This window comes from Homo sapiens, chromosome 2, assembly GCF_000001405.40.
Source record: "Homo sapiens chromosome 2, GRCh38.p14 Primary Assembly".
NCBI lineage: Eukaryota > Metazoa > Chordata > Mammalia > Primates > Hominidae > Homo > Homo sapiens.
In genome coordinates this window covers 20,032,650-20,053,593 of record NC_000002.12, presented here as the reverse complement: position 1 = coordinate 20,053,593, position 20,944 = coordinate 20,032,650, and the positions used below count along the sequence as shown (strand labels likewise).

General features: G+C 41.7%; 1 protein-coding gene and 1 long non-coding RNA gene across 3 annotated transcripts in view, besides 2 other annotated features; one reads left to right on the top strand and one right to left on the bottom strand.

The window, feature by feature from the left end:
- The window catches only part of LAPTM4A-DT (LAPTM4A divergent transcript), a 65,743-nt gene extending 64,286 nt beyond the window's left edge, over nucleotides 1-1,457 (bottom strand). For both annotated transcript variants that reach the window (NR_187142.1, NR_187143.1), the window contains exon 1: nucleotides 1,100-1,457. This is a non-coding gene — a long non-coding RNA (LAPTM4A divergent transcript). The remainder of the gene's footprint in view (nucleotides 1-1,099) is intronic.
- Nucleotides 1,956-2,155: an enhancer, noted in NCBI's record as "active region_15374". NCBI's record gives its function as "activates an Ori minimal core promoter by ATAC-STARR-seq in GM12878 lymphoblastoid cells {active_cell/tissue: GM12878}" and the evidence as "EXISTENCE:reporter gene assay evidence [ECO:0000049][PMID:35858748]".
- Nucleotides 1,966-20,944, top strand: LAPTM4A (lysosomal protein transmembrane 4 alpha). The gene is made up of 7 exons (NM_014713.5): nucleotides 1,966-2,184; nucleotides 12,583-12,703; nucleotides 15,980-16,056; nucleotides 16,156-16,278; nucleotides 18,532-18,627; nucleotides 19,179-19,277; nucleotides 20,315-20,944. Exons 1-7 carry the CDS (start codon nucleotides 2,074-2,076, stop codon nucleotides 20,387-20,389), a joined length of 702 nt encoding a protein of 233 aa, NP_055528.1. The 5' UTR covers nucleotides 1,966-2,073; the 3' UTR covers nucleotides 20,390-20,944.
- Nucleotides 2,691-2,830: an enhancer, noted in NCBI's record as "active region_15373". NCBI's record gives its function as "activates an Ori minimal core promoter by ATAC-STARR-seq in GM12878 lymphoblastoid cells {active_cell/tissue: GM12878}" and the evidence as "EXISTENCE:reporter gene assay evidence [ECO:0000049][PMID:35858748]".

The window sequence follows — 20,944 nt, the reverse complement described above, 5'->3', positions numbered from 1 at the left end:
TCAGGTGATCCGCCTGCTTCAGCCTCCCAAAGTGCTAGGATTACAGGCGTGAGCCACCGCGCCCGGCTCCCCTGATCTTATCTTTGTATTCTTTTTTATTGTATTGTATTTATTTCTGTCTGCCACATTTCATATCAAGACAGAATAACAGTGCTGCACATTAGGATCACCTAATTTTAAAATTGACATTTTAAAAATGTCAATGCCCAGGTCTCACCCATGACAGTTAAATCAGAAGGTCTGGAATAGTAAGCAGGCATCAGTGGTTAGTAAAGATCCTCAGGTGATGCCAATGTGCAGCAAAGTTTGGAAACTATTGGCACAACAGGTTTTAATCTCAGTTGTGACACTGGCCTTGCAATCTTGGATATGTAATTTAACTTCTCTGTAGAGTTAAATAACGTAAGAGTACCTATCTCAGTTAGTTGTAGGAATGAAATGATTGAAAATAAAGTGATTGGATCTGTGCCTAGAACAAAATAAGGGATACGAAATTGTGGGGCGGGGTTAAGATAATCTACTCCCTACATAAGTAGAGAAATGTCATAATTCATTCTGAGTTAGCCAGCCACACCCCATCCTTTAGCGTGGGCGGGCTTAACTACTGCTTCCCAGATGGTTTGAAAATAAGCTCCATGGACAACTCCTTCAGTGGTGAATAGTCTCTGCTCTCCTAAAATTTGTATTTTATTGGGGAGATAATCAACAAATACATACATAATTTCAGGCAGTGTTCAAAGAAGCCATGCCAAAGAAATAACCTTTACTCTGAATTCAGTGTGGTCTCTGGCTAAGAATATGCCCTGGCAGAAGGGAAGCCCTTTCTATTCTCTGAAAAGAAGTGTGTTTACCAAAGCATTAAATGATAAATACATTTTTTAACGGTGAAGTCACAGGTCTCACAGAAATACAAAATGAACACGTGTAAAAAATTTATTTACTCATTAACCCGGGGACCAGTAAGCTGTTAGAACCAGCTCTAAGCAGAATTTAAAGCACCCATCTATATTGTTGAATCAGGACTGGGGAATGAATTTACAAATCGATGCAAAATGGCTTTTCCCAAGGAAGGGTAAGATAACAATACGAGGGGTCTTACCGAGTTGTGCAGAGCACCACAAAGAAAAGCGGACAGCCCCTCTAGCAACAGAATGCCCGGGACGGTGTGCCAAACTATGGCTGTTTTTTCATTGAAGACATTCAGTAATTTTTTGTCCATTTCAATGTGTTTCATAATTTCTCCCTACAAAAAAAAATCACTCATCTCCAAAAACCCAGCAGCTAAGTAGTTCTTCTACATTATCTTGCTTTCATTTATCCTTAATCCTTTTGCCTTTGGCAGGGTTGGATGGTCTTTCTTCGCCCCCACCAAGGAGGCTTCGGAGGGAAAAGAGGGTGTAAATCCAATCCCTCCACTCCTCCAGGCACCCTCCCATTTCCGCCACAGGGGCGAGGATGGCTCAAGGCTGGGCTTGGCTCTGTCCCTTCCCCGCAGGCCCCGCCCCCAGCCCGCGCAATAATTGAGCTGCGCGCAAAGGTCACGTTATCAGCCTGTGACGCTTCCCATCCAGTACGTGGCACACATTGCTCAGAAAAGCCCCTTGTGCCCGCTTTCTGCCATCCGCGCTGTCTCGTGTCTCCCTTTTTCCATTAAATGCCTCTTTTCTTGCGGGTCTCATCTCGGGAATAGTGCACTACGGGGACATACCTATCCCCAACTATCCTAGGCCCGAGAACCAGCCCTTGCCTTCGCGTAACAGGCGGAGACTCGCTGAGGCGAGTTGCACTTCTAATTGGGCGTGAGGTCTTGTCAATCCCCAAGTTCTTCCAATCAGAAGTCCGGTCCATCCAGCCTTCCGCTCCCCATTGGCCTGTGTGGAGGAAGAGGGGTGGGTAAGCCGAAGTCGCTGCGCTCAGTGCGCAGGCGCGAAGAAGCTGGCAGGGGCACGAGCCGGGGGCGGGTTTGAAGACGCGTCGTTGGGTTTTGGAGGCCGTGAAACAGCCGTTTGAGTTTGGCTGCGGGTGGAGAACGTTTGTCAGGGGCCCGGCCAAGAAGGAGGCCCGCCTGTTACGATGGTGTCCATGAGTTTCAAGCGGAACCGCAGTGACCGGTTCTACAGCACCCGGTGCTGCGGCTGTTGCCATGTCCGCACCGGGACGATCATCCTGGGGACCTGGTACATGGTAAGGCGGGCAGGCGTGGCGCGTATGTCCGGGGGGCCTGGGGAGCGGGGCCTGGTGCGGAGGGGGTGAGACTGGAAACGGGGTGTTGGGTGGGGCGGGGACTTGGAGGGGCGCTGCTTTTTAAGGCGCGCCAACTCTGGATGAAGTCCAAGGACTTTGGGAAAGTAACCTTGTTCAGGAATCGGAGTCGGGGGAGCGGGGGGCGGTGGTAAGCATGGGGAGATTGTTCTTTGGCAAGAATTTGAGGAGAGAAGCGGGCTTGGGAGAGCAGAGGCTTTGCAGGCGAAGGGACGAGGGTGGTAGGATTTGGTGGGAATTCCTCTGTTTTGGTTCTTGTTGTATTTCTACGATCTGAAAGGCAGCATCTCCCTTCCTCCTATCCAGTGCTCCCTGGAATTTTTTCCTCTAATGAAATAATTAGGAGCGGACCTTGGTAAACGCAGTCTAGTTTCGACATTGGTCTTCCCGTTGGGAAAGCGAAAGATCCAGCGGTAACCCGGTTGTCCGCGTTTCTTGGACTTTGTTTTGTTTCATGCCTCTCTTGCATCTCCAGAATCGCTTGGGGGCGATAGCTTTTGCCTGAGTTGACGCCTGACCAGCTTTTGTCCTGGTGCAGCCTCCTCCCTGCGCAGTAGGTGCTTTTCGTAGCCGACCGGCTGTTTTTACAGAGACCTTTATTGAGAGCCCTCTCCATCCTGGCCACCTACCCCGGTATCTCCTGGGTTCCAAGATCTGTGTGATTCTGTCCTAACCAAGTTGACACTGTTGTTGCCTGGTGATTCACTAGTAATAAGTTTGTGATTTTTTCTTTTGTAATTCACCATTTATAGTATCCATGCACATTAAACCTAACTTGTCTATGACTTCCAAATATGGGATTCAGTTTAGGTAGTTTTAGGTTATTATGATTTTGCCGAAGCCGTGACAAACTTCCTACATGGTCGACTTGGCCACTTTAATGACTTCGCGAATGTGGTTGTGTGGGTGACGTTGGTGATACTGTGCAGTTTTTGATACTTAACTGCAAAAGAGGAAGAGAGTTATCCCAGACACAATCTGTTTTCTCTGTACTTGCTGCTTCTCCCCACTCATTGACTTGAAATCATTAGTAAGCATTTGGACAAACGCCAGATGAGAATCATCTTAAATGAGGCAGATACTGTTTCATGGCCCACCCCCGGGGGACTACCTGACTCCACATGACTGCTACCTGCCCTGTTGTTTTTTACCGTCTTGTTTCTGATGTACATTTAAAAAACAACACGAATGTGTAGGTTTGCTTGTGCTGAGTTTATTTTCATGTTTCCTGTACTTTTATATTCGGAAATACCGCCTTATTGACAGAACTATATCACATTTTCCCTCAGAGACTCTTTCGTTCTGTATTTTAACTGATTTGGAATACTAAACATAGAGTTAATGACCATCAGCTGCATTATGTTTCTAACTTCCTTTTATAGCTTCTCCATTTTGCTGAGGGGCTGGGTCTCATTTCTTTTGTTTGTCCTTAGCTCTGTCTTCTATTTCCCTAAATGAATAATTCAAACCTTGAGGATCCTCAAGGCTATTACTCAATTCCGTCTTCCTCACCCCCAGAAGATGACTTTCTTTCCTATTTAACTAAGAGAATCCATCGACCTGGCTCTCTCCTGCAGTCTTAGTCTTCCTGTTTCTTCTCAGATCCTTCCCTCCACTCACAGAACAAAGGATTCCTAACTCCTCAAGAAGAGAATACCACCATTTCTATTTCAACCATCCGAATGTAATTGGCTGTATTTCTTTTCAGTTTTTCTCAGGCAGATTTTTTGATGCTGTGGGCTCAGCTAGAAAATGAATAGAATAGCAGGATAAAGTGGGAACTACAAACAGGAAACTCAAAATGCAGAGAGAAAAACTTCATTACGGGCGCTTATTCTTACAAAATAGGGAGTGAGGAGTTTACATCTGTTCCCTACTTTAAGCCCTTGTTGTGAGAAGGGTTCACATACCTCTGAAGACCATGCTTTAGTTTCACAATTTTAAAAAGATGCCATAGCTGTTCTTACTTTGCATAGACTTCTCAGATTAGTGTAAAACATTTTATTGTAAACTTCTTAAATCGTTTGACCTGTCTTAAATTGATTAAGAGATTTACTGACCACCTGCAGTGTAAAAGGCTTTGGTGGACAAACAAAAGGAATAAATCACAGGGGCCATGTGTCATTTGCCTTGTTTTCCTATTACCTGCTAAGTGCTAGACTCTCAAATGTTTCTTGTCTAACACAGCATCTGCCCTTAAGATATTTATGGTATCACAAACTTGGAGCACAGATATGAAAAACATATGGTACAGTGATGAGGAGGAGGAGAAGGTGATCAGTAATATCAGATTCTAATCAGAATAAGTACTGGAAAAAGGCCATTGGTTTTGTTTATTATAGTTTTGTTGATGACTTTCAAAAGAGTAGCTTGAATACCATAGCAGTGTAAAGACAGTCTCTACCAACTTGGGGAGACATGTAACACTTATGATGCAAGACCACCTAAGCCAAACTGTAGTATAATACTTCGAAGCAAAGAAGGCTTGTCCAAGTAGTGCATTTTATTCTCAGAAGCTGCTTTACTAAGACAGAGAAACAATATGGGGATGAGTGAGTATTAAATGTCACTTCCCTCCCTACCTACCTTGTCAAGGTACTCTCTTGCTTGATTCCTGGTGAGGCAATAATTCAGTCTGCATGGGAGAATATTTATGTTTCTTTTTACATTACGTGGGACAGACTTCTGAGATGATGATTCCCCCTGTGTCATTTGGAACTTGGGGGAGCCCCTCTCCCTCGCTATCAGTGACTGTATCTGATACAGTCTCATTGCTTTCTAGCCACGGCTTCTACTGGTCTAGTGTTAAAGTATCGTAACACCATATACTAAAATATTCATTGTATGGTACAAAATAGTGCTGTGGGACATAGAGAAAGCCAGAACCAGTTATTATATGCACCGGAGGTACCAGCCCTGAAGTGTGAGCCTTTCGTATTTTAGCTAGAAAAGAAGCATACCTGGTTAAGTAACAGGAAATTTCAGAATGAGCTCATGTTTAAATTCTGGCATTCCTGAAATGGTTTTCTCTATCATTTATTGAAGAATTTGAAGCCAGTTGATTTTAAACAAGTTTCTTATGAGGTATAAACTCAAATGTTTATTGAATAATTGAAAATGGACTTAAAAGTGTGCTGTAGTAGATATACTTTGTGATTAATGGTGTGCACTACAAGACTACATTTTGAGCATTTGTAATAATTTTATCTCTTAGACTTAATATATGGCTAATTTTTCATGAGTGTCTCAACCATAAACAGTTTGAAGTTCTGTATCTGGGAGAGAAGTAAAAACAGGTTTCCTTAAGCTCTATTCCTTTCTAGCCCTCACCTCTGACTTCAAGTAAGCATAGCTTGTTTATATTTGTTAGTTTCCTTCCTTAAACTAAGGAAGTTTTGTGCCTCTGCCTTTGCATATGCTATTCCTTCTCCCTGAAATGTTGCTGTCCTCCCAAGTCACTTTCTAAAAATTTTATTAAGGAAATTTTCATACATACAAAAGTAGTGAAGTAGTACGAAAACCTCCCATTTATTCATCACCCAGCTTCAACCATTAACAACATTTTGCCAAGTCCAGATAATTTAATGGTTAGCTCACATGTTTTCGTGGTAAAACTTTCCTTTTTTTTTTTTTTTGAGACGGAGTCTCGCTCTGTCGCCCAGGCCGGACTGCGGACCGCAGTGGCGCAATCTCGGCTCACTGCAAGCTCCGCTTCCCGGGTTCACGCCATTCTCCTGCCTCAGCCTCCCGAGTAGCTGGGACTACAGGCGCCCGCCACCGCGCCCGGCTAATTTTTTGTATTTTTAGTAGAGACGGGGTTTCACCTTGTTAGCCAGGATGGTCTCGATCTCCTGACCTCATGATCCACCCGCCTCGGCCTCCCAAAGTGCTGGGATTACAGGCGTGAGCCACCGCGCCCGGCCTTTTTTTTTTTTTTTCTTTTTTGAGACAGAGTCTTGCTCTGTCACCAGGCTGGAGTGCAGTGGTGCGATCTCGGCTCACTGCAACCTCCGCCTCCCAGGTTCAAGCGATTCCTCTGCCCCAGCCTCCCAAATAGCTGGGACTACAGGCACCCGCCACCATGTCGGGCTAATTTTTTGTATTTTAGTAGAGACGGGGTTTCACCGTGTTGGCCGGGATTGTCTCGATCTCCTGACCTCATGATCTGCCTGCCTTGGCCTCCCAAAGTGCTGGGATTACAGGCGTGAGCTACCATGCCCAGCCAAGCTTTCTTTACTTCCTAGCCAGGGGGATCTGTTTTTCTCACGGTGCACCTGCAAAAGTTTCTGGATCCTTCTTGTATGTACTTATTAAATAGTACTCAGTACACATTGGTAGGATTGTCCTTTTCTCTTATTTTTCTCTCTACAGCAAGATGTTCTCCTGGAGGGAAGAGGGTGATGTCTTTATAAGGGCAGTGGCTCACGCCTGTAATCCCAGCATTTTGGGAGGCCAAGGCAGGTGGATTGCCCAGGAGTTCGAGACCAGCCTGAGCAACATGACGAAACCCCCTCTCTACCAAAAAAAAATATATATTATATTATATATATATTTATATATTATATTATATATATATTTATATAATATATATTTATATATAGATATATAATATATAAATATATATAAAACATATAAAAATATATATACACACACACATACATACATATATATATTAGCGGGGCATGGTGTGGTGGTGCATGCCTGTAGTCCCAGCTACAGGGGAGGCTGAAGTGGGAGGATCACTTGAGCCGGGGAGGCAGAGGTTGCAGTGAGCCTAGATCGCAGTAACTACTCTCCATCCTGGGTGACAGAATGAGACCCTGTCTCAAAATAAAATGTGTGTGATGGCTAACTTATTAATTAAAACATTTGAGGTGTTCATTACACATTTGTTGAATGAATGTCTCCTCCAAAAAATATTGTGAATACTCAGTTGTATCTGCATGTAACAGTAAACAACAACAAAAAACTTTTTTTTTTTAAATTATACTGTAAGTTCTAGGGTACATGTCCACAGCGTGCAGGTTTGTTGCATAGGTATACATGTGCCATGTTGGTTTGCTGCACCCATCAACTCATCATTTACATTAGTTATTTCTCCTAATGCTATCCCTCCCCCAGCCCGCCACCCGCTGACAGGCCCTGGTGTAGGTGTGTGATGTTCCCCACCCTGTGTCCAAGTGTTCTCATTGTTCAGTTCCCACCTATGAGTGAGAACATGCGGTGTTTGGTTTTCTGTCCTTGTAATAGTTTGCTGAGAATGATGGTTTCCAGCTTCATCCATGTCCCTGCAAAGGACATGAACTAATCCTTTTTTATGGCTAAAAAACGTTTTAAAGATAGTCAATTTTGATCTTTATCAGATAACAGGCTTTGCTTAGTTCTGTAGATTGACCCTCCTGTGGGTGCTTTCTCTGCATGGGAAGCCCTTATCTGGATGCCTCCTTAAACCAGACACACTGTTTTAATTATTATCTCAGTAGATACTGGCTCTGGGCAAATTACTGTGGGAAAACTGAAAAATGATTTTTTTTTTAAAGTCTCCAGAGAATCTTCTGGAATAGGTGTGGCAGTGAAAGAAGAAAACAAAGAATTCCTCTCTTCAGGCCCTGTGCTTCCATGGATCTGATACAGTTATTTTGTAACAAGTCAAATCTAACAGATTTCTTATTGTACACACTTACATAAGATGTAGAAGCTTTCAAAAACAATGCACACCACCTGATTTGACTGATTAAATTTACAGTACTGTTAACACATTGAGTGGTGAATCCGCAGCCCATGCTGCTAAAATATTGCTGCATTCTATACCTCTCCATATTGCCAAGTTTAGAAGTTAATAATTTAATCTTTTTTTTTTTTTTTTAAAGAGATGGGGTCTTGCTATGTTGCCTGTGCTGGTGTGCAATGGCATGATTATAGCACACTGCAGCCTTGAACTGGGCTCAAACAATCCTCCCACCTCAGGCACCTGACCAGCTGGGACTACAGGCACACACCACTGTCCCCAGCTTAATCATTCTTTTTAAATTACATTTTTATTAACTTTCTTTCCTGAATACAGTGAAAGGAAAAAGTGAATCAGGAATAAATATTTGTAATAGTTAGTACATAGTTGGATATTTTCAGAGAAATTTTGTATTGTAAGATTACAGTTAATTTTATGTATTTTTTGAAAAGCTAAACATGTAATTTAGAAATATCAACTTTAATCAGAGATAAGTTGCCAGGGCTTACATGTGAGCACAAGGTAGGCGTTCGTTGGTGAATATCTTTAAGATCAAAGGATGCCAGGAGCGGTGGCTCGTGCCTGTCATCCTAGCACTTTAGGAGGCCAATGCAGTAGGATCACTTGAGGCCAGGAGTTCAAGACCAGACTGGACAACATAGTGAGACTCCATCTCTACAAAAAAAATTTTTTTAAGTCACAAGGATGGGTTTTCCAGTGTAATACTTTAAGATGTAAGTTGGGGTTCTAATGAAATGATGTGATCTAATGGAATATAATTAACTCAAAGAAGATTTGGAAAAAGCTTTTAATGAAGTAGCATTGAAATTTATTTCACTGTTTCTTGGTCCTTCTGATTGGCCCTACGATTTATTTTGTTTAATATTTAGTGGTATGACCCACAGTGAAATTAAACTTGAAGTGTCTCTAGTACTAAAAGAAGATAATAGTGGATGAGCGTGTGACTTATCCATGGAAGAGAAGAAAAGTGAAGAGTTCTTTTGTTTTTTAAGAGACAGACTTAGTATTGTTGCCTAGGCTGGTCTCCAGAGCTCAGGCGATCCTTCCCACCTCAGCCTCCCAAGTAGCTGGGACTATAGGTGTGAGATTTTTAGAAATCCTTCATGTAATAAAAATATTTAAGAAGGGAAAATAGAACTCCTAAATGTTTTTGGCATGTCATTCCCTTCATTTAGTAATTGGGTTTGCATGCTTTTCTTGACAAAGGAATTTCTGTACCGCAGAGAGCTTTTTCACTGTGACTATGCTGTGTTTAGCAAAGAAGAGTTTGCCTAATTGATTTCAAACTGATTTCCATACACAGAACATATAACGTTTTAGTAGATATATCTGATAGTTCAGTAATTAATTCACCTAGTTGTATTAGCTCATACTCATACACCACACACGCTGGCCAAAACCCATTGCAGCAAATGTGGGCAACAAAAAAAATCAGCTTTCAACTGGGGAGAGCCACCTTGCAAAAGTGATTGTTCCTGGTAAGTCCTCTCAAGAATTGAAAGATATCATGCCTTGCCTCTGAACAATGCAAGGAAAGAGGCTTGCTGCTGAACATAGACAGTAAAGTCTAAACATTTTATAGCCTTAGATAATGGTTTCTTTGGGAAAGACCTTAAAATAGGAGTTACTGGGGAATGTTTATTAATAATCACGTAGTGCTGAGAAGGAGGATGTCTTAAAAACCAGACTTGTGTCCTGATTCTCCCATCTGTCAGCTCAGCAAGCTTAACACAAGTTATATAGCTTTACTGAATCTTAAGTTTCCCCATCTACACATAGGCTTTGGTAATACTTACTTCACGGGTTGTTGTGAGGAATAAGTGAAGTAATACACGTAAATACACATGTCATAAAGCATATCCTCAATAAATATTGGTTGATTCCAAATTTCATATTGTGGCATTGTTTAGATCACCTACCCTAAAATAAAACTTGATCTGCTTATCTAGCGGATGTTAGTGAAATGACTTCAGCTGATAAAAGGAAAATGCATTTCCTGTGTGTTTATCATTCAAGGTGAAACAGGAGAGAAGTATATAATAGTTTGTTTAAAATACTATCGATAGCTGGCCGACACAGTGGCTCACACCTGTAATCCCAGCACTTTGGGAGGCCAAGGCTGGTGGATCACTTGAGGTCAGGAGTTTGAGACCAGCCTGGCCAACGTGGCGAAACCCCACCTCTACTAAAAATACAAAAATTAGCCAGGCTTGAATGGTGCACGCCTGTAGTCCCAGCTACTCGGGAGGCTGAGGTGTGAGAATGGCCTGAACCCAAGAGGTGGAAGCTGCAGTAAGCCGAGATCGTGCCACTGCACTCCAGCCTGGGTGACAGAGCGAGGCTTGGTCTCAAAAAAAAAAAAAAAAAAAAAGGTCCCAGCTACTTGGGAGGCTGAGGTGTGAGAATTGCTTGAACCCAAGAGGTGGAAGCTGCAGTGAGCTGAGATTGCGCCACTGCACTCCAGCTTGGGTGACAGAGCAAGGCTTGGTCTCAAAAAAAAAAAAAGTCCCAGCTACCCCGGGGACTGAGGCAGGAGAATCGCTTGAACCCAGGAGGTGGAGGCTGCAGTGAGCCGAGATTGCGCTACTGCACTCCAGCCTGGGCGACAGAGCGAGACTCCATCTCAAAAACTAAATAAATTAAAATACTACTGATAGGAACTTAACCCTTGAAAATTCCAGATGTTCACATTTTCACAAAGGGAAGGAGGGCAAATTCTGTGAACTTTACTATGCTAGATAAGGAAGCCTAACTCCAATCCTACGTGAGATTTCTGTCTTGAGTCGTTAACAATACTCTTTCTGAGTACTTAAATGCAGTGAAGCCTCCTGGGATACCACAGGGATTGGCCAACAACTACAGGCACAACTCATTTCCTTTTAAAATGGATTTACAACCCTGGGAGACTAGGAAAATTCAGATATTATAATGGGATTTCAGCAGGCTGTTCCTCTAAAGAGCTAAACAATTTTATTCAGAAGTTGCTAGTTAATGGGAAGGGGCAGCCTCTGGCAGCTTTGTCCTCACCTCTGTTCTCTTTTGTTAGTAACTTAGATGGAAATACTGATTACATGCTGATCCTAAATTCAGGAAGTTGAGACAGTAAATCTGTAGTGTGTCAGAATCCACATCCAGAAAATCTTCATAGGCAAGAATGTAATAAGATGAAACTCAATTACAGGTATATTAAGGCCTATGCTTGGGCCTCTGAATCCAACTGTACAGGTGGGAGCTTAGCACAATCAAGTGTGAAAAAGAACTTGGTGTTTTAGGGAGTTACTCTCATGTGATATTCAGAAAATTTGTAAAGCCAATGCAGGCTGGGTGCGGTGGCTCATGCCTGTAATCACAGCATGTTGGGAGGCTAAAGCAGGAGGATCACTTGAGGCCAAGAGTTCAAGACCAGCCTAGGCAATATGGTGAGACCTTGTTTCTAACAAAAACAAAAAACCTCAGTACAACTTCAGGTTGCATTAATTGAAATTCGTTAGCCAGAATATGAGAACTGAGATCCCATTATGTTCTGACCAGGGTGACTTTACCTCATTTTAATATATGTCCATCAAACTGGAGCATGTGTAAAGAGGAAGACAAAAGGGAAATAGGTAGCTAGGAAACATGCTAGTCAGAGGAATGGCTTAAAGATCTGCATGTCTATTCTAGAGAACACAGTATTTGGAGGCTGTTTTCAGGTATTGGAGCACTTATTTAGAAGGGAGAGCACATTATCTCAAAAGGTAGATTTAAGGCCGGGCGTGGTGGCTCACGCCTGTAATACCAACACTTTGGGAGGCTAGGGCTGGGTGTATCACTTGAGGTCAGGAATTAGAGACCAGCCTGGCCAACATAGTGAAACCCCGTCTCTACTAAAAATACAAAAATCACCCGCGTATGGTCGTGGGCACCTGTAATCCCAGCTACCAGGTGGCTGAGGTGGGAGGATCACATGAGCCTAGGAAGGGGAGGCTTCAGTGAGCTGAGATTGCACCACTGCACTCCACCCTGGGCAATAGAGTGAGACTCCATATCACACACACGCACACATACACATACACACACACACACAAAAGTAAGACTAGTAGATAAGTGACTTTCAGTATCTTGGTAAGTCTCTTAAGCATTTGAGTCTAGCTCTAGAGGAAATAGTGAGTTCTCTGTCACCTGATGAGAGATGCTGTGGAGGGGTTTCGGGCATCTGATGAATAAATATAACAGATGAACAGTAACTTCTTCAAATCCAGAAATTCTGAGATTGGTATATGAATAAATAGGTAGCTTCGAACATGAACCATTTGTAATGATTCTTTAGTTTTAATTTTTTTCTGGTGTATTGGTTAAGCATCTTATCTCTCAAATGGTTAATATTACTTATACTTTATAAAATATTTATTTTTAAATTATTCTCATAGTGGTAATTGCGTATTGTTTTATCTCACAGGTAGTCTCCCACTATTTTATATCTTTGTTACTTCAAGTAAGACAATCTTAAATATGAGAGGACATCTAGAGATTGTGCTAAGATTGCGTCGTGATGGTAATTAATGTAACTGATAGAATGTTATCTTTTCCAGGTAGTAAACCTATTGATGGCAATTTTGCTGACTGTGGAAGTGACTCATCCAAACTCCATGCCAGCTGTCAACATTCAGTATGAAGTCATCGGTAATTACTATTCGTCTGAGAGAATGGCTGGTATGTGTTTAATAGAAAAACAAAAAAATCTCCCCTGCTAATTTTTATATACAGTCCTGTGTTGTTTAATGATGGGGACACATTCTGAGAAATGTCACTGGGTGATATTGTTGTGTGAACATCATAGGGTGTACTTACACAAACCTAGATAGCGTAGCCTACTATACACCTAGGCGATGTGGTAGAGACTCCTAGGCTAAAACCTGTACAGCAGGTTACTGTACCGAATACTGTAGGCAGTTATCATACAGTGGCAAATAGGTGTGTATCTAAAGATGGAAAAATATAGTAATACTGTAAATACACTATTACAGTGTTATGGAACCCTCATGATATATGCAGTCCATTGTTGACCAAAATGTTGTTGGCCCATGTCTGTCTGTCTCCACACACACTGGTTATTTAGGGGATTGATTAGATTATGCTTAAGTTACATTTCAGAAAGTTAAAATGGTTACATAATAAGGGTAACAAGTTAAATTATATTTAAGTCATTCTTGCTGAGGCAGGAAAGTATTTTGATGGGTTTTTCAGAGAGATTCAGTGAGGATTACAATAGAGCATTTCTAGCCAGAAAATGTAATGGACTATTAAGTTTTTGAGAAATGTGTAAAATGTACCTTGAAATCAAAATAAGCATGCAGGCTTCATAAGACTTTTTTTTTAATGTAGCTACTAGTAGAAAGGAGAAGTTGCTATGGTTACAATATATGTGTCCCTCCAAAATTCACATGCTGGAGCTTAACCTCCAAGGTGATGATATTAAGAGGTAGGACCCTTGGGTGGTGATTAGGCCATGAGGGCTCTACCCTTATGAATGGGATAAATGCCTTTCTTTTTTTTTGAGACAGAGTTTTGCGCTTGTTGCCCAGGCTGGAGTGCAGTGGTGCGATCTCGGCTCAGGGCAACCTCTGCCTCCTGGGTTCAAGCGATTCTCCTGCCTCAGCCTCCTGAGTAGCTGGGATTACAGGCACACACCACCACACCCGGCTAATTTTTTGTATTTTTAGAGTTACTCCATGTTGGTCAGGTTGGTCTCGAACTCCCGACCTTAGGTGATCCACCCGCCTCAGCCTCCCAAAGTGCTGGGATTACAGGCGTGCCACAGCGCCCAGCCAGCGCCCTTCATTTTTAAAATCACATTTATATTATTTATTTGTTTAAAAAAAGTTTTTTAGAGAAAAGGTCTTACTTTGTTGTCCCAACTGGAGTGCAGTGGTACAGTAATAGCTCACTGTAACCCAGAATTCCTGAGCTCAAGTGATCCTCCCACCTCAGCTGCCTGAGTAGCTAAATTTTTGTGGAGATCGGGTCTCCCTGTCTTTACCAGGCTGGTCTTGAGCTCCCGGCTTCAAGGGACCCTCCCACTTCAGCCTCCCAAAGTGCTGAGATTACAGGCATGAGCCACTGTGCCCAGCCCATAGCAGACTCTTGAAAGCCGATTATTTGAATTACAAATTTTGCTTTCAAGTTTGATAATACCTGTTTAATTTCATATTTTGTTTTTACCTGAATTCTTCTAAGTGGAAGTTTGCATGTTGTAGCAGGGAAGTCCTTTAAATTCTTAACATTTATCAATCCTGTATCCTCTAAGAAAAAAGTAAAGAGGACTATTCCTAGTTTAGTGCCAAATATTGATGAGGTTTTACTGCCCAGTGATAAATTATATATACATGCTGTGCATGGTGGCTCATGCCTGTAATCCCATCACTTTGGGAGGCCGAGGCAGGTGAATCACTTGAGGTCAGGAGTTTGAGACTAGCCTGGCTAACATGGTGAAATCCTGTCTCTATTAAAAATACAAAAATTAGCTGGGCTTGGTGGCGCAGGCCTGCAATCCTAGCTACTCTGGAGGCTGAGGCAAAAGAATCTCATGAACCTGGGAGGCAGAGGTTGCAGTGAGCTGAGATTGTGCCACTGCACTCCAGCCTGGGTGACAGTGAGATTGTCTCAAAGAAAAAAAAAAAGTTGTATATACATTTACCCAATAGGGAATATTCAGCAGTTGTTCTAGTCATTCATCATTATTAGTGCCCTCAGTATTTTTTTTCTTTTTTCATTTTTAAAACATCTTTTGTGCATACAGGGTCTTGCTATATTGCCCAGGTTGGTCTTGAACTCCTGGCCTCAAGTAATTTTCCCACCTTAGTCTCTCAGAGTACTGAGATTACAGGTGTGGGTTGCCGTGCCCATCCCCCCCAGTTTCTTAATCTCTGCCCAGACGGATCACCTGATGTTGGGAGTTTAGACCAGCCTGGCCAACATGGTGAAACCTCGTCTCTACTAGAAATACAGAAATTAGCTGGATGTGGTGGTGCTTGCCTATAATTCCAGCTACTTGGGAGGCTGAGGCAAGAGAATCACATGAACCTGGGAGGTTGAGGTTGCAGTGAGCCGAGATCGCGCCACTGCACTCTAGCCTGGGCGACAGAGCAAGACTCTGTCTCAGGAAAAGAAAGAAAAAACTGTCCAGAGTCACAGAATCAACTACAGATTTGTGCTAAGAAATTCAGTAAGTCAGGCACGGTTTAGAATTGCTTGAGATTACTTGGCTGTTTTGTGAAAAAATTAGTGAACATGGATTAATGGAGAGTTGGAACAACCTGAGGAAGAGTTGAGAAACGAAGAAGAAAGTAGTGTGTGTTAACATAGATACCAGGGTGCAGGAAGCAATGAATTTTGGTGTTTGGGAGGTTGGGTGGGGAAGTGAGGTTAATGGCGAAATTTGAATTTCAGGTTATATTTATCTAGAGCAAAGGGTAATGTATGTAGCATTCTGAGTTTAATACACTTGTCTTTTAAGCAATTGCCAGCCATTCCTTCCAGCTAAACCCTACTCATAAGACCCATCTTGTGTCATTTCTTCATATTTTTTCCTGATGCTTCAGGCAAAGCAAATTGTTTCTGCCTCTGTTGTAGCACTTGACACATTGGATTATAATGATCTGTTTGCACATCTTCAGATTCCTGGGCTCATAAGGGCACAGGGACCTGTTTCTCTAGCAGAGAATGTGGTTCATGTGCCATCCTACACCCATGTCAGTGAGTCGTTGGAGCGATTTAACAAATAAGTGCTTTGTGTGAATGTCTCAAGGTTCCTTACTTCATGCTGAGACTTTGATTTTTTTTTTTTTTTTTTACCCTCTTGGCCTTAGATCTTTTTATAGCCAATTTTGAAAATATTTAAATTTAATATTTTAAAGCTAGCTTTAAGTGAAGTTTTGTTCTTTTTGTTGTGTAAGTAGCTTAATTAGATTTTTGTTTTTGTTTTCTTAGATAATGCCTGTGTTCTTTTTGCCGTCTCTGTTCTTATGTTTATAATCAGTTCAATGCTGGTTTATGGAGCAATTTCTGTAAGTATACTGTATTTTCATCTTTTAGAGTTTGACCTTAGGGGAGCTTAGTAATTTCCTATATGTGATACAATGTTATGGTTGTTATTTTTTCTCCAGTATCAAGTGGGTTGGCTGATTCCATTCTTCTGTTACCGACTTTTTGACTTCGTCCTCAGTTGCCTGGTTGCTATTAGTTCTCTCACCTATTTGCCAAGAATCAAAGAATATCTGGATCAACTAGTAAGTGTGTATGCTCATTAAACTTATTTTTTTTTCATTTTGAGTAAAATGTTTACATTTAAATTCTGAATCAGCCTTAGGTATTATTTTTAACTACTCCGCTTGCTTTTGAAAGTGTCTTAAAATAATTATTTCTGCTCTCTTAGCTACTGTGACAAAACTGGCAAGATGAAAGTAGAGTAATTTCTTACCATCCATTTGGATAATGCAGTATTAAGAGTTCCTAGAAATGGATATTATGGAACTAGTAGTTCAGCTTTTGTTTTTGAGCATCCAAAGGTACAGTAATTTGACTGTGTATGGCACTCTTTAAGTGACTAGCTTATTGTCTTTACAGACATCTGTAGCAAGTATTCCAGTGCCTACTATGTTTTTAGCCCTTTGCTAGGCACTGTTGGTGAATGGTGTGGATATAAAGATAACTGCGAATATTACAGTTTAGCGAGCAAACTGTAATATTTGGGGAGTCAAGATACATGAAGATGTTACCTGTGATAACAAGCGGGAGCTGTCACAGCAGCAGCAAATAAGGAACTTCGATTAATGTCATATGGAGGGGGGCAGGGAAAACTCTGGGCTGGGTGGCCAAGGAGGGCGTCGTGGAGGTGGTCAGAAGGAGATATGGGATCTAGGTAGATGAAAATTGGCAGGAGTATCCTCAGTTCATTTCCAAAGTGCTGTCTTTCAGAACTTTTCTTCCCACTACCAGATTTCCTGCCTAGCCCATTTTCCACACCACCAAATTCATCATTCATTTATTCAGAAAACATTCGCTGGTTGCTCTTATGTGCAAGGCACTCTGCTAGGTCATAGAGATGCATCAGTGGAGCTTACTTCCTGGTGAAGGAATCAGGAAGTTGACAGTTAACTGATACACCATTGTAGGTTACTGTGGGAGTGGATATCACATGGGTACTAAACCTGGGCTGGGAAGTGAGATTTGAATTGTACTCAGGAGTTTGAACAGGAATTAAGATAGAGAAAGTATAGAAGACAATGTTCCAGATAAAAGAGAGACCTTGAGGCAAGAAGCAGCATAGTGAGGGCACTAGAAGCTGGCCATGGTGGCTGGCACACAGAGGGAGGGTGGGGAAGCCTGGAGAAAGGTGGCCAGGGGCAGGGCTGTTGGCCTGGTCAGCCACGGTCAGCGGCTTCTGTGTGGCTCTCTGCTCATGTCATCTCCGGGGGAGAAATTTCAAGTGGTGCCTCCCTGCCTTCTGAGTAAAACCCTTAGCATAGCATTCCCTCATGAGCTCCACCTTCTGTGTTTTTCTTTTTGTTTATAGATGAAGATCAAAAAAACAGCTTTTTTCCCAAGGAGACAACCTGGCTGGGGTTTGGGGAGTAGTGTGTTCTTAAAATTTTTTTTTTCTATTTTTTTCAGTCCTTTGGGATTTCTGTTTATGTTGCTTTTTAAATGAAAATGTAATTAGGCCTTCTTGTTGACATTTCCATTAAAAACAAGCATAACTTAAAAAAATTAAATCAGCTTTATAGAAAAGAAGATAAAAATTTATTATTCCTTTTAGAGACCCTGGTGTTTTCTCTCCTCTGTTTTGTTCACTTAGTGCCTCAGACTGGAAGGTATTTCCTCTGTTGGTTAGTTTTTAAATCTGAAATTCTTCTTTTATAACACCTTTCTCCCTGAACTTAGCTCATTGCCTTGTACACAGTCAGGGCTGATTAAGTATTTAAATGAATATAGCTGATGCTTTTCAGTAGAACAGAGTATGTCTGCAGTAAAACTTATGTCTTGCCTGACATTGTAACCAGTGGGTGTATTTTTGCCCCTGTCTGATGAGAGTTGAGACAAACGATTGACATTTAGAAAAATAATTTTCCCCTTGTAGCATTAAAATGGCCCAGTTTATCTGTAGAACTTACACAGAACTGAGCATCTCCTGAGTTAATGATGCAAGTGACACAGGGACTGATCTCCAGTGCCATATAGGCGATAGTGTTTTTCCAAAGGCCAGAAAGATGGAAAATAGTGAAAAGTAAAGAGAAAACGAGCTAAATTTAGACTTTTTGGAGCATTGTGGGTTATCAAATGTACTCTAAGTGATTGTTAGCATGCATTAATGGTGATAAGGCTTAAAATTTAAAAGCACTTTGAATTAAATTCTGCTTATACATTTTTATTAAATATCACTTTTGACTTTGGTGCCTTTGTATTCTTCAGATGCTCTTCAGGTTATCAGCAAGTGCTAGTGCGATGGCTGACTTGTAAATGTGTGTGTGTTTCTTTAATAGCCTGATTTTCCCTACAAAGATGACCTCCTGGCCTTGGACTCCAGCTGCCTCCTGTTCATTGTTCTTGTGTTCTTTGCCTTATTCATCATTTTTAAGGTACGTTGCTGACTAAATCTTTAGGGGTGACTGAGATTGACACTGTGAATCTAAACCTTTTTGCTGCCTTTCACCTTACAAGTCACAGGAGATTGAGGATTTGTGGGGACAGTGTTTATTCTGGCACATGAGCAGAGATAGCTTCTAGGGAATGGTTTCTGTTGTGTTTCCAAGGAATGGTTGTAACTGTCAGGATCCTTCTCTGAGTGAAAGGACCTACTTTTTATGTTTTTGAAAAGGGGTTCATGATTTGTATTGAAAATCTGTTAAAATTCCCAAGGTTCACAAACCCAGAATTTCTTCTGCAGCACAGTGGGTTGACCTGAATTGAAGCTCCATCTCTGGTTTCTCTCTGAAATGTTGGCGATGAAACTCATGACACTTAAATGAGAGCAAGTAGGGAAAGGGCCTGGCCTGTGCTGGGTCCACACAGAGGTCAGCTCCCTTCTACACAGAGGATGTGTGGGGAAAGCATTCTAAGTCACTGGCATTTTAGAGCAGGTAGTCTGTTGAGTTTCTAGCAGATGTCAACTTTGTTTTTATTCTTCCAGGCTTATCTAATTAACTGTGTTTGGAACTGCTATAAATACATCAACAACCGAAACGTGCCGGAGATTGCTGTGTACCCTGCCTTTGAAGCACCTCCTCAGGTTAGCTACTGTTGGATAGAGTAAAAGGTCACCAGTCACTATTGACTGTTCCAGGAGAAGAACCTGGAGCTTGACTTTCTCTTTCATGCTGTAACCTATGGTTTGGGCATGAACCCTGGGTACTTTTATGAACAGCTTAAAATCCACAGGATTCAACATTTTCCACTTGGAATCCTGAGTACCTGGGTCGCTTGTCTCATCCAGTTTGGCTGTTAGATTTACTCATTAGAGGTCCTCATTAGTGTCATGTTTGTAGGGGAGATGACAGGAAACAGCTGTGTTAGGCCCATGTAGCCTGGGGCTTCTAAGGATGGGGAGTTCCATTGACTGAAACTTGTGTTGTTTTCAGAAAACATCCATATGATCCAACGGGGGAGCTGACCTGTCTGGGGAGATGAATACAGTGGTTTCATGGGTCTTTTGGGGAAGCCTACCTTTCACAGCCCTCTAATTGCTGCTGTGCTACCTTCCCAGGTTTTCAGCATATAAAATATATGTGGCCCATCTAGGGCCAGGCTTTCAGACTTGGAGTCACTTCGATTAGAATGTCACTCCTCCACTGCATAGGTGTGCCTGTTACCCTCGAAGACATGATATAAGTTCATGATCTTCTGACTACAAACTGATTCTGATGAAAGTCAGGATCCAGGAGCTAGCGTCTTATTGGGTGTTTCCTATTGCATGGTTTAACCCAACTCCTCAACACCTGAAGTGTAATTGGCACTGGCACTTCATCGGTCACACTGGAATGAGGGCAGAGCAATGGCACCCACTGCCTGCCTGTCTAGGAATCCTTGTCCAGAAGCAGGACTCTCTCTCCCCACCTCCCTCTCTCCACCCTCCCCTTCGCTAGCAATCTTGGTAAAATTCCAGGTTATTGAGGCATCTACTTGGGAACATTTTAGCTAACAGTTTCTTCAGCTCTTCTTTATGGTTTTGTATAACCCTATTTAGGGCATAAAGTCTGAAAGCTGAATTATCTCACAAAGGATTTTAAAGGAGAATTAAATCTGATACAATTTTTTTTCTCTCTTTAGTACGTTTTGCCAACCTATGAAATGGCCGTGAAAATGCCTGAAAAAGAACCACCACCTCCTTACTTACCTGCCTGAAGAAATTCTGCCTTTGACAATAAATCCTATACCAGCTTTTTGTTTGTTTATGTTACAGAATGCTGCAATTCAGGGCTCTTCAAACTTGTTTGATATAAAATATGTTGTCTTTTGTTTAAGCATTTATTTTCAAACACTAAGGAGCTTTTTGACATCTGTTAAACGTCTTTTTGTTTTTTTGTTAAGTCTTTTACATTTTAATAGTTTTTGAAGACAATCTAGGTTAAGCAAGAGCAAAGTGCCATTGTTTGCCTTTAATTGGGGGGTGGGAAGGGAAAGAGGGTACTTGCCACATAGTTTCCTTTTTAACTGCACTTTCTTTATATAATCGTTTGCATTTTGTTACTTGCTACCCTGAGTACTTTCAGGAAGACTGACTTAAATATTCGGGGTGAGTAAGTAGTTGGGTATAAGATCTGAACTTTTCATCTGCAGAGGCAAGAAAAATATTTGACATTGTGACTTGACTGTGGAAGATGATGGTTGCATGTTTCTAGTTTGTATATGTTTCCATCTTTGTGATAAGATGATTTAATAAATCTCTTTAAATACTTA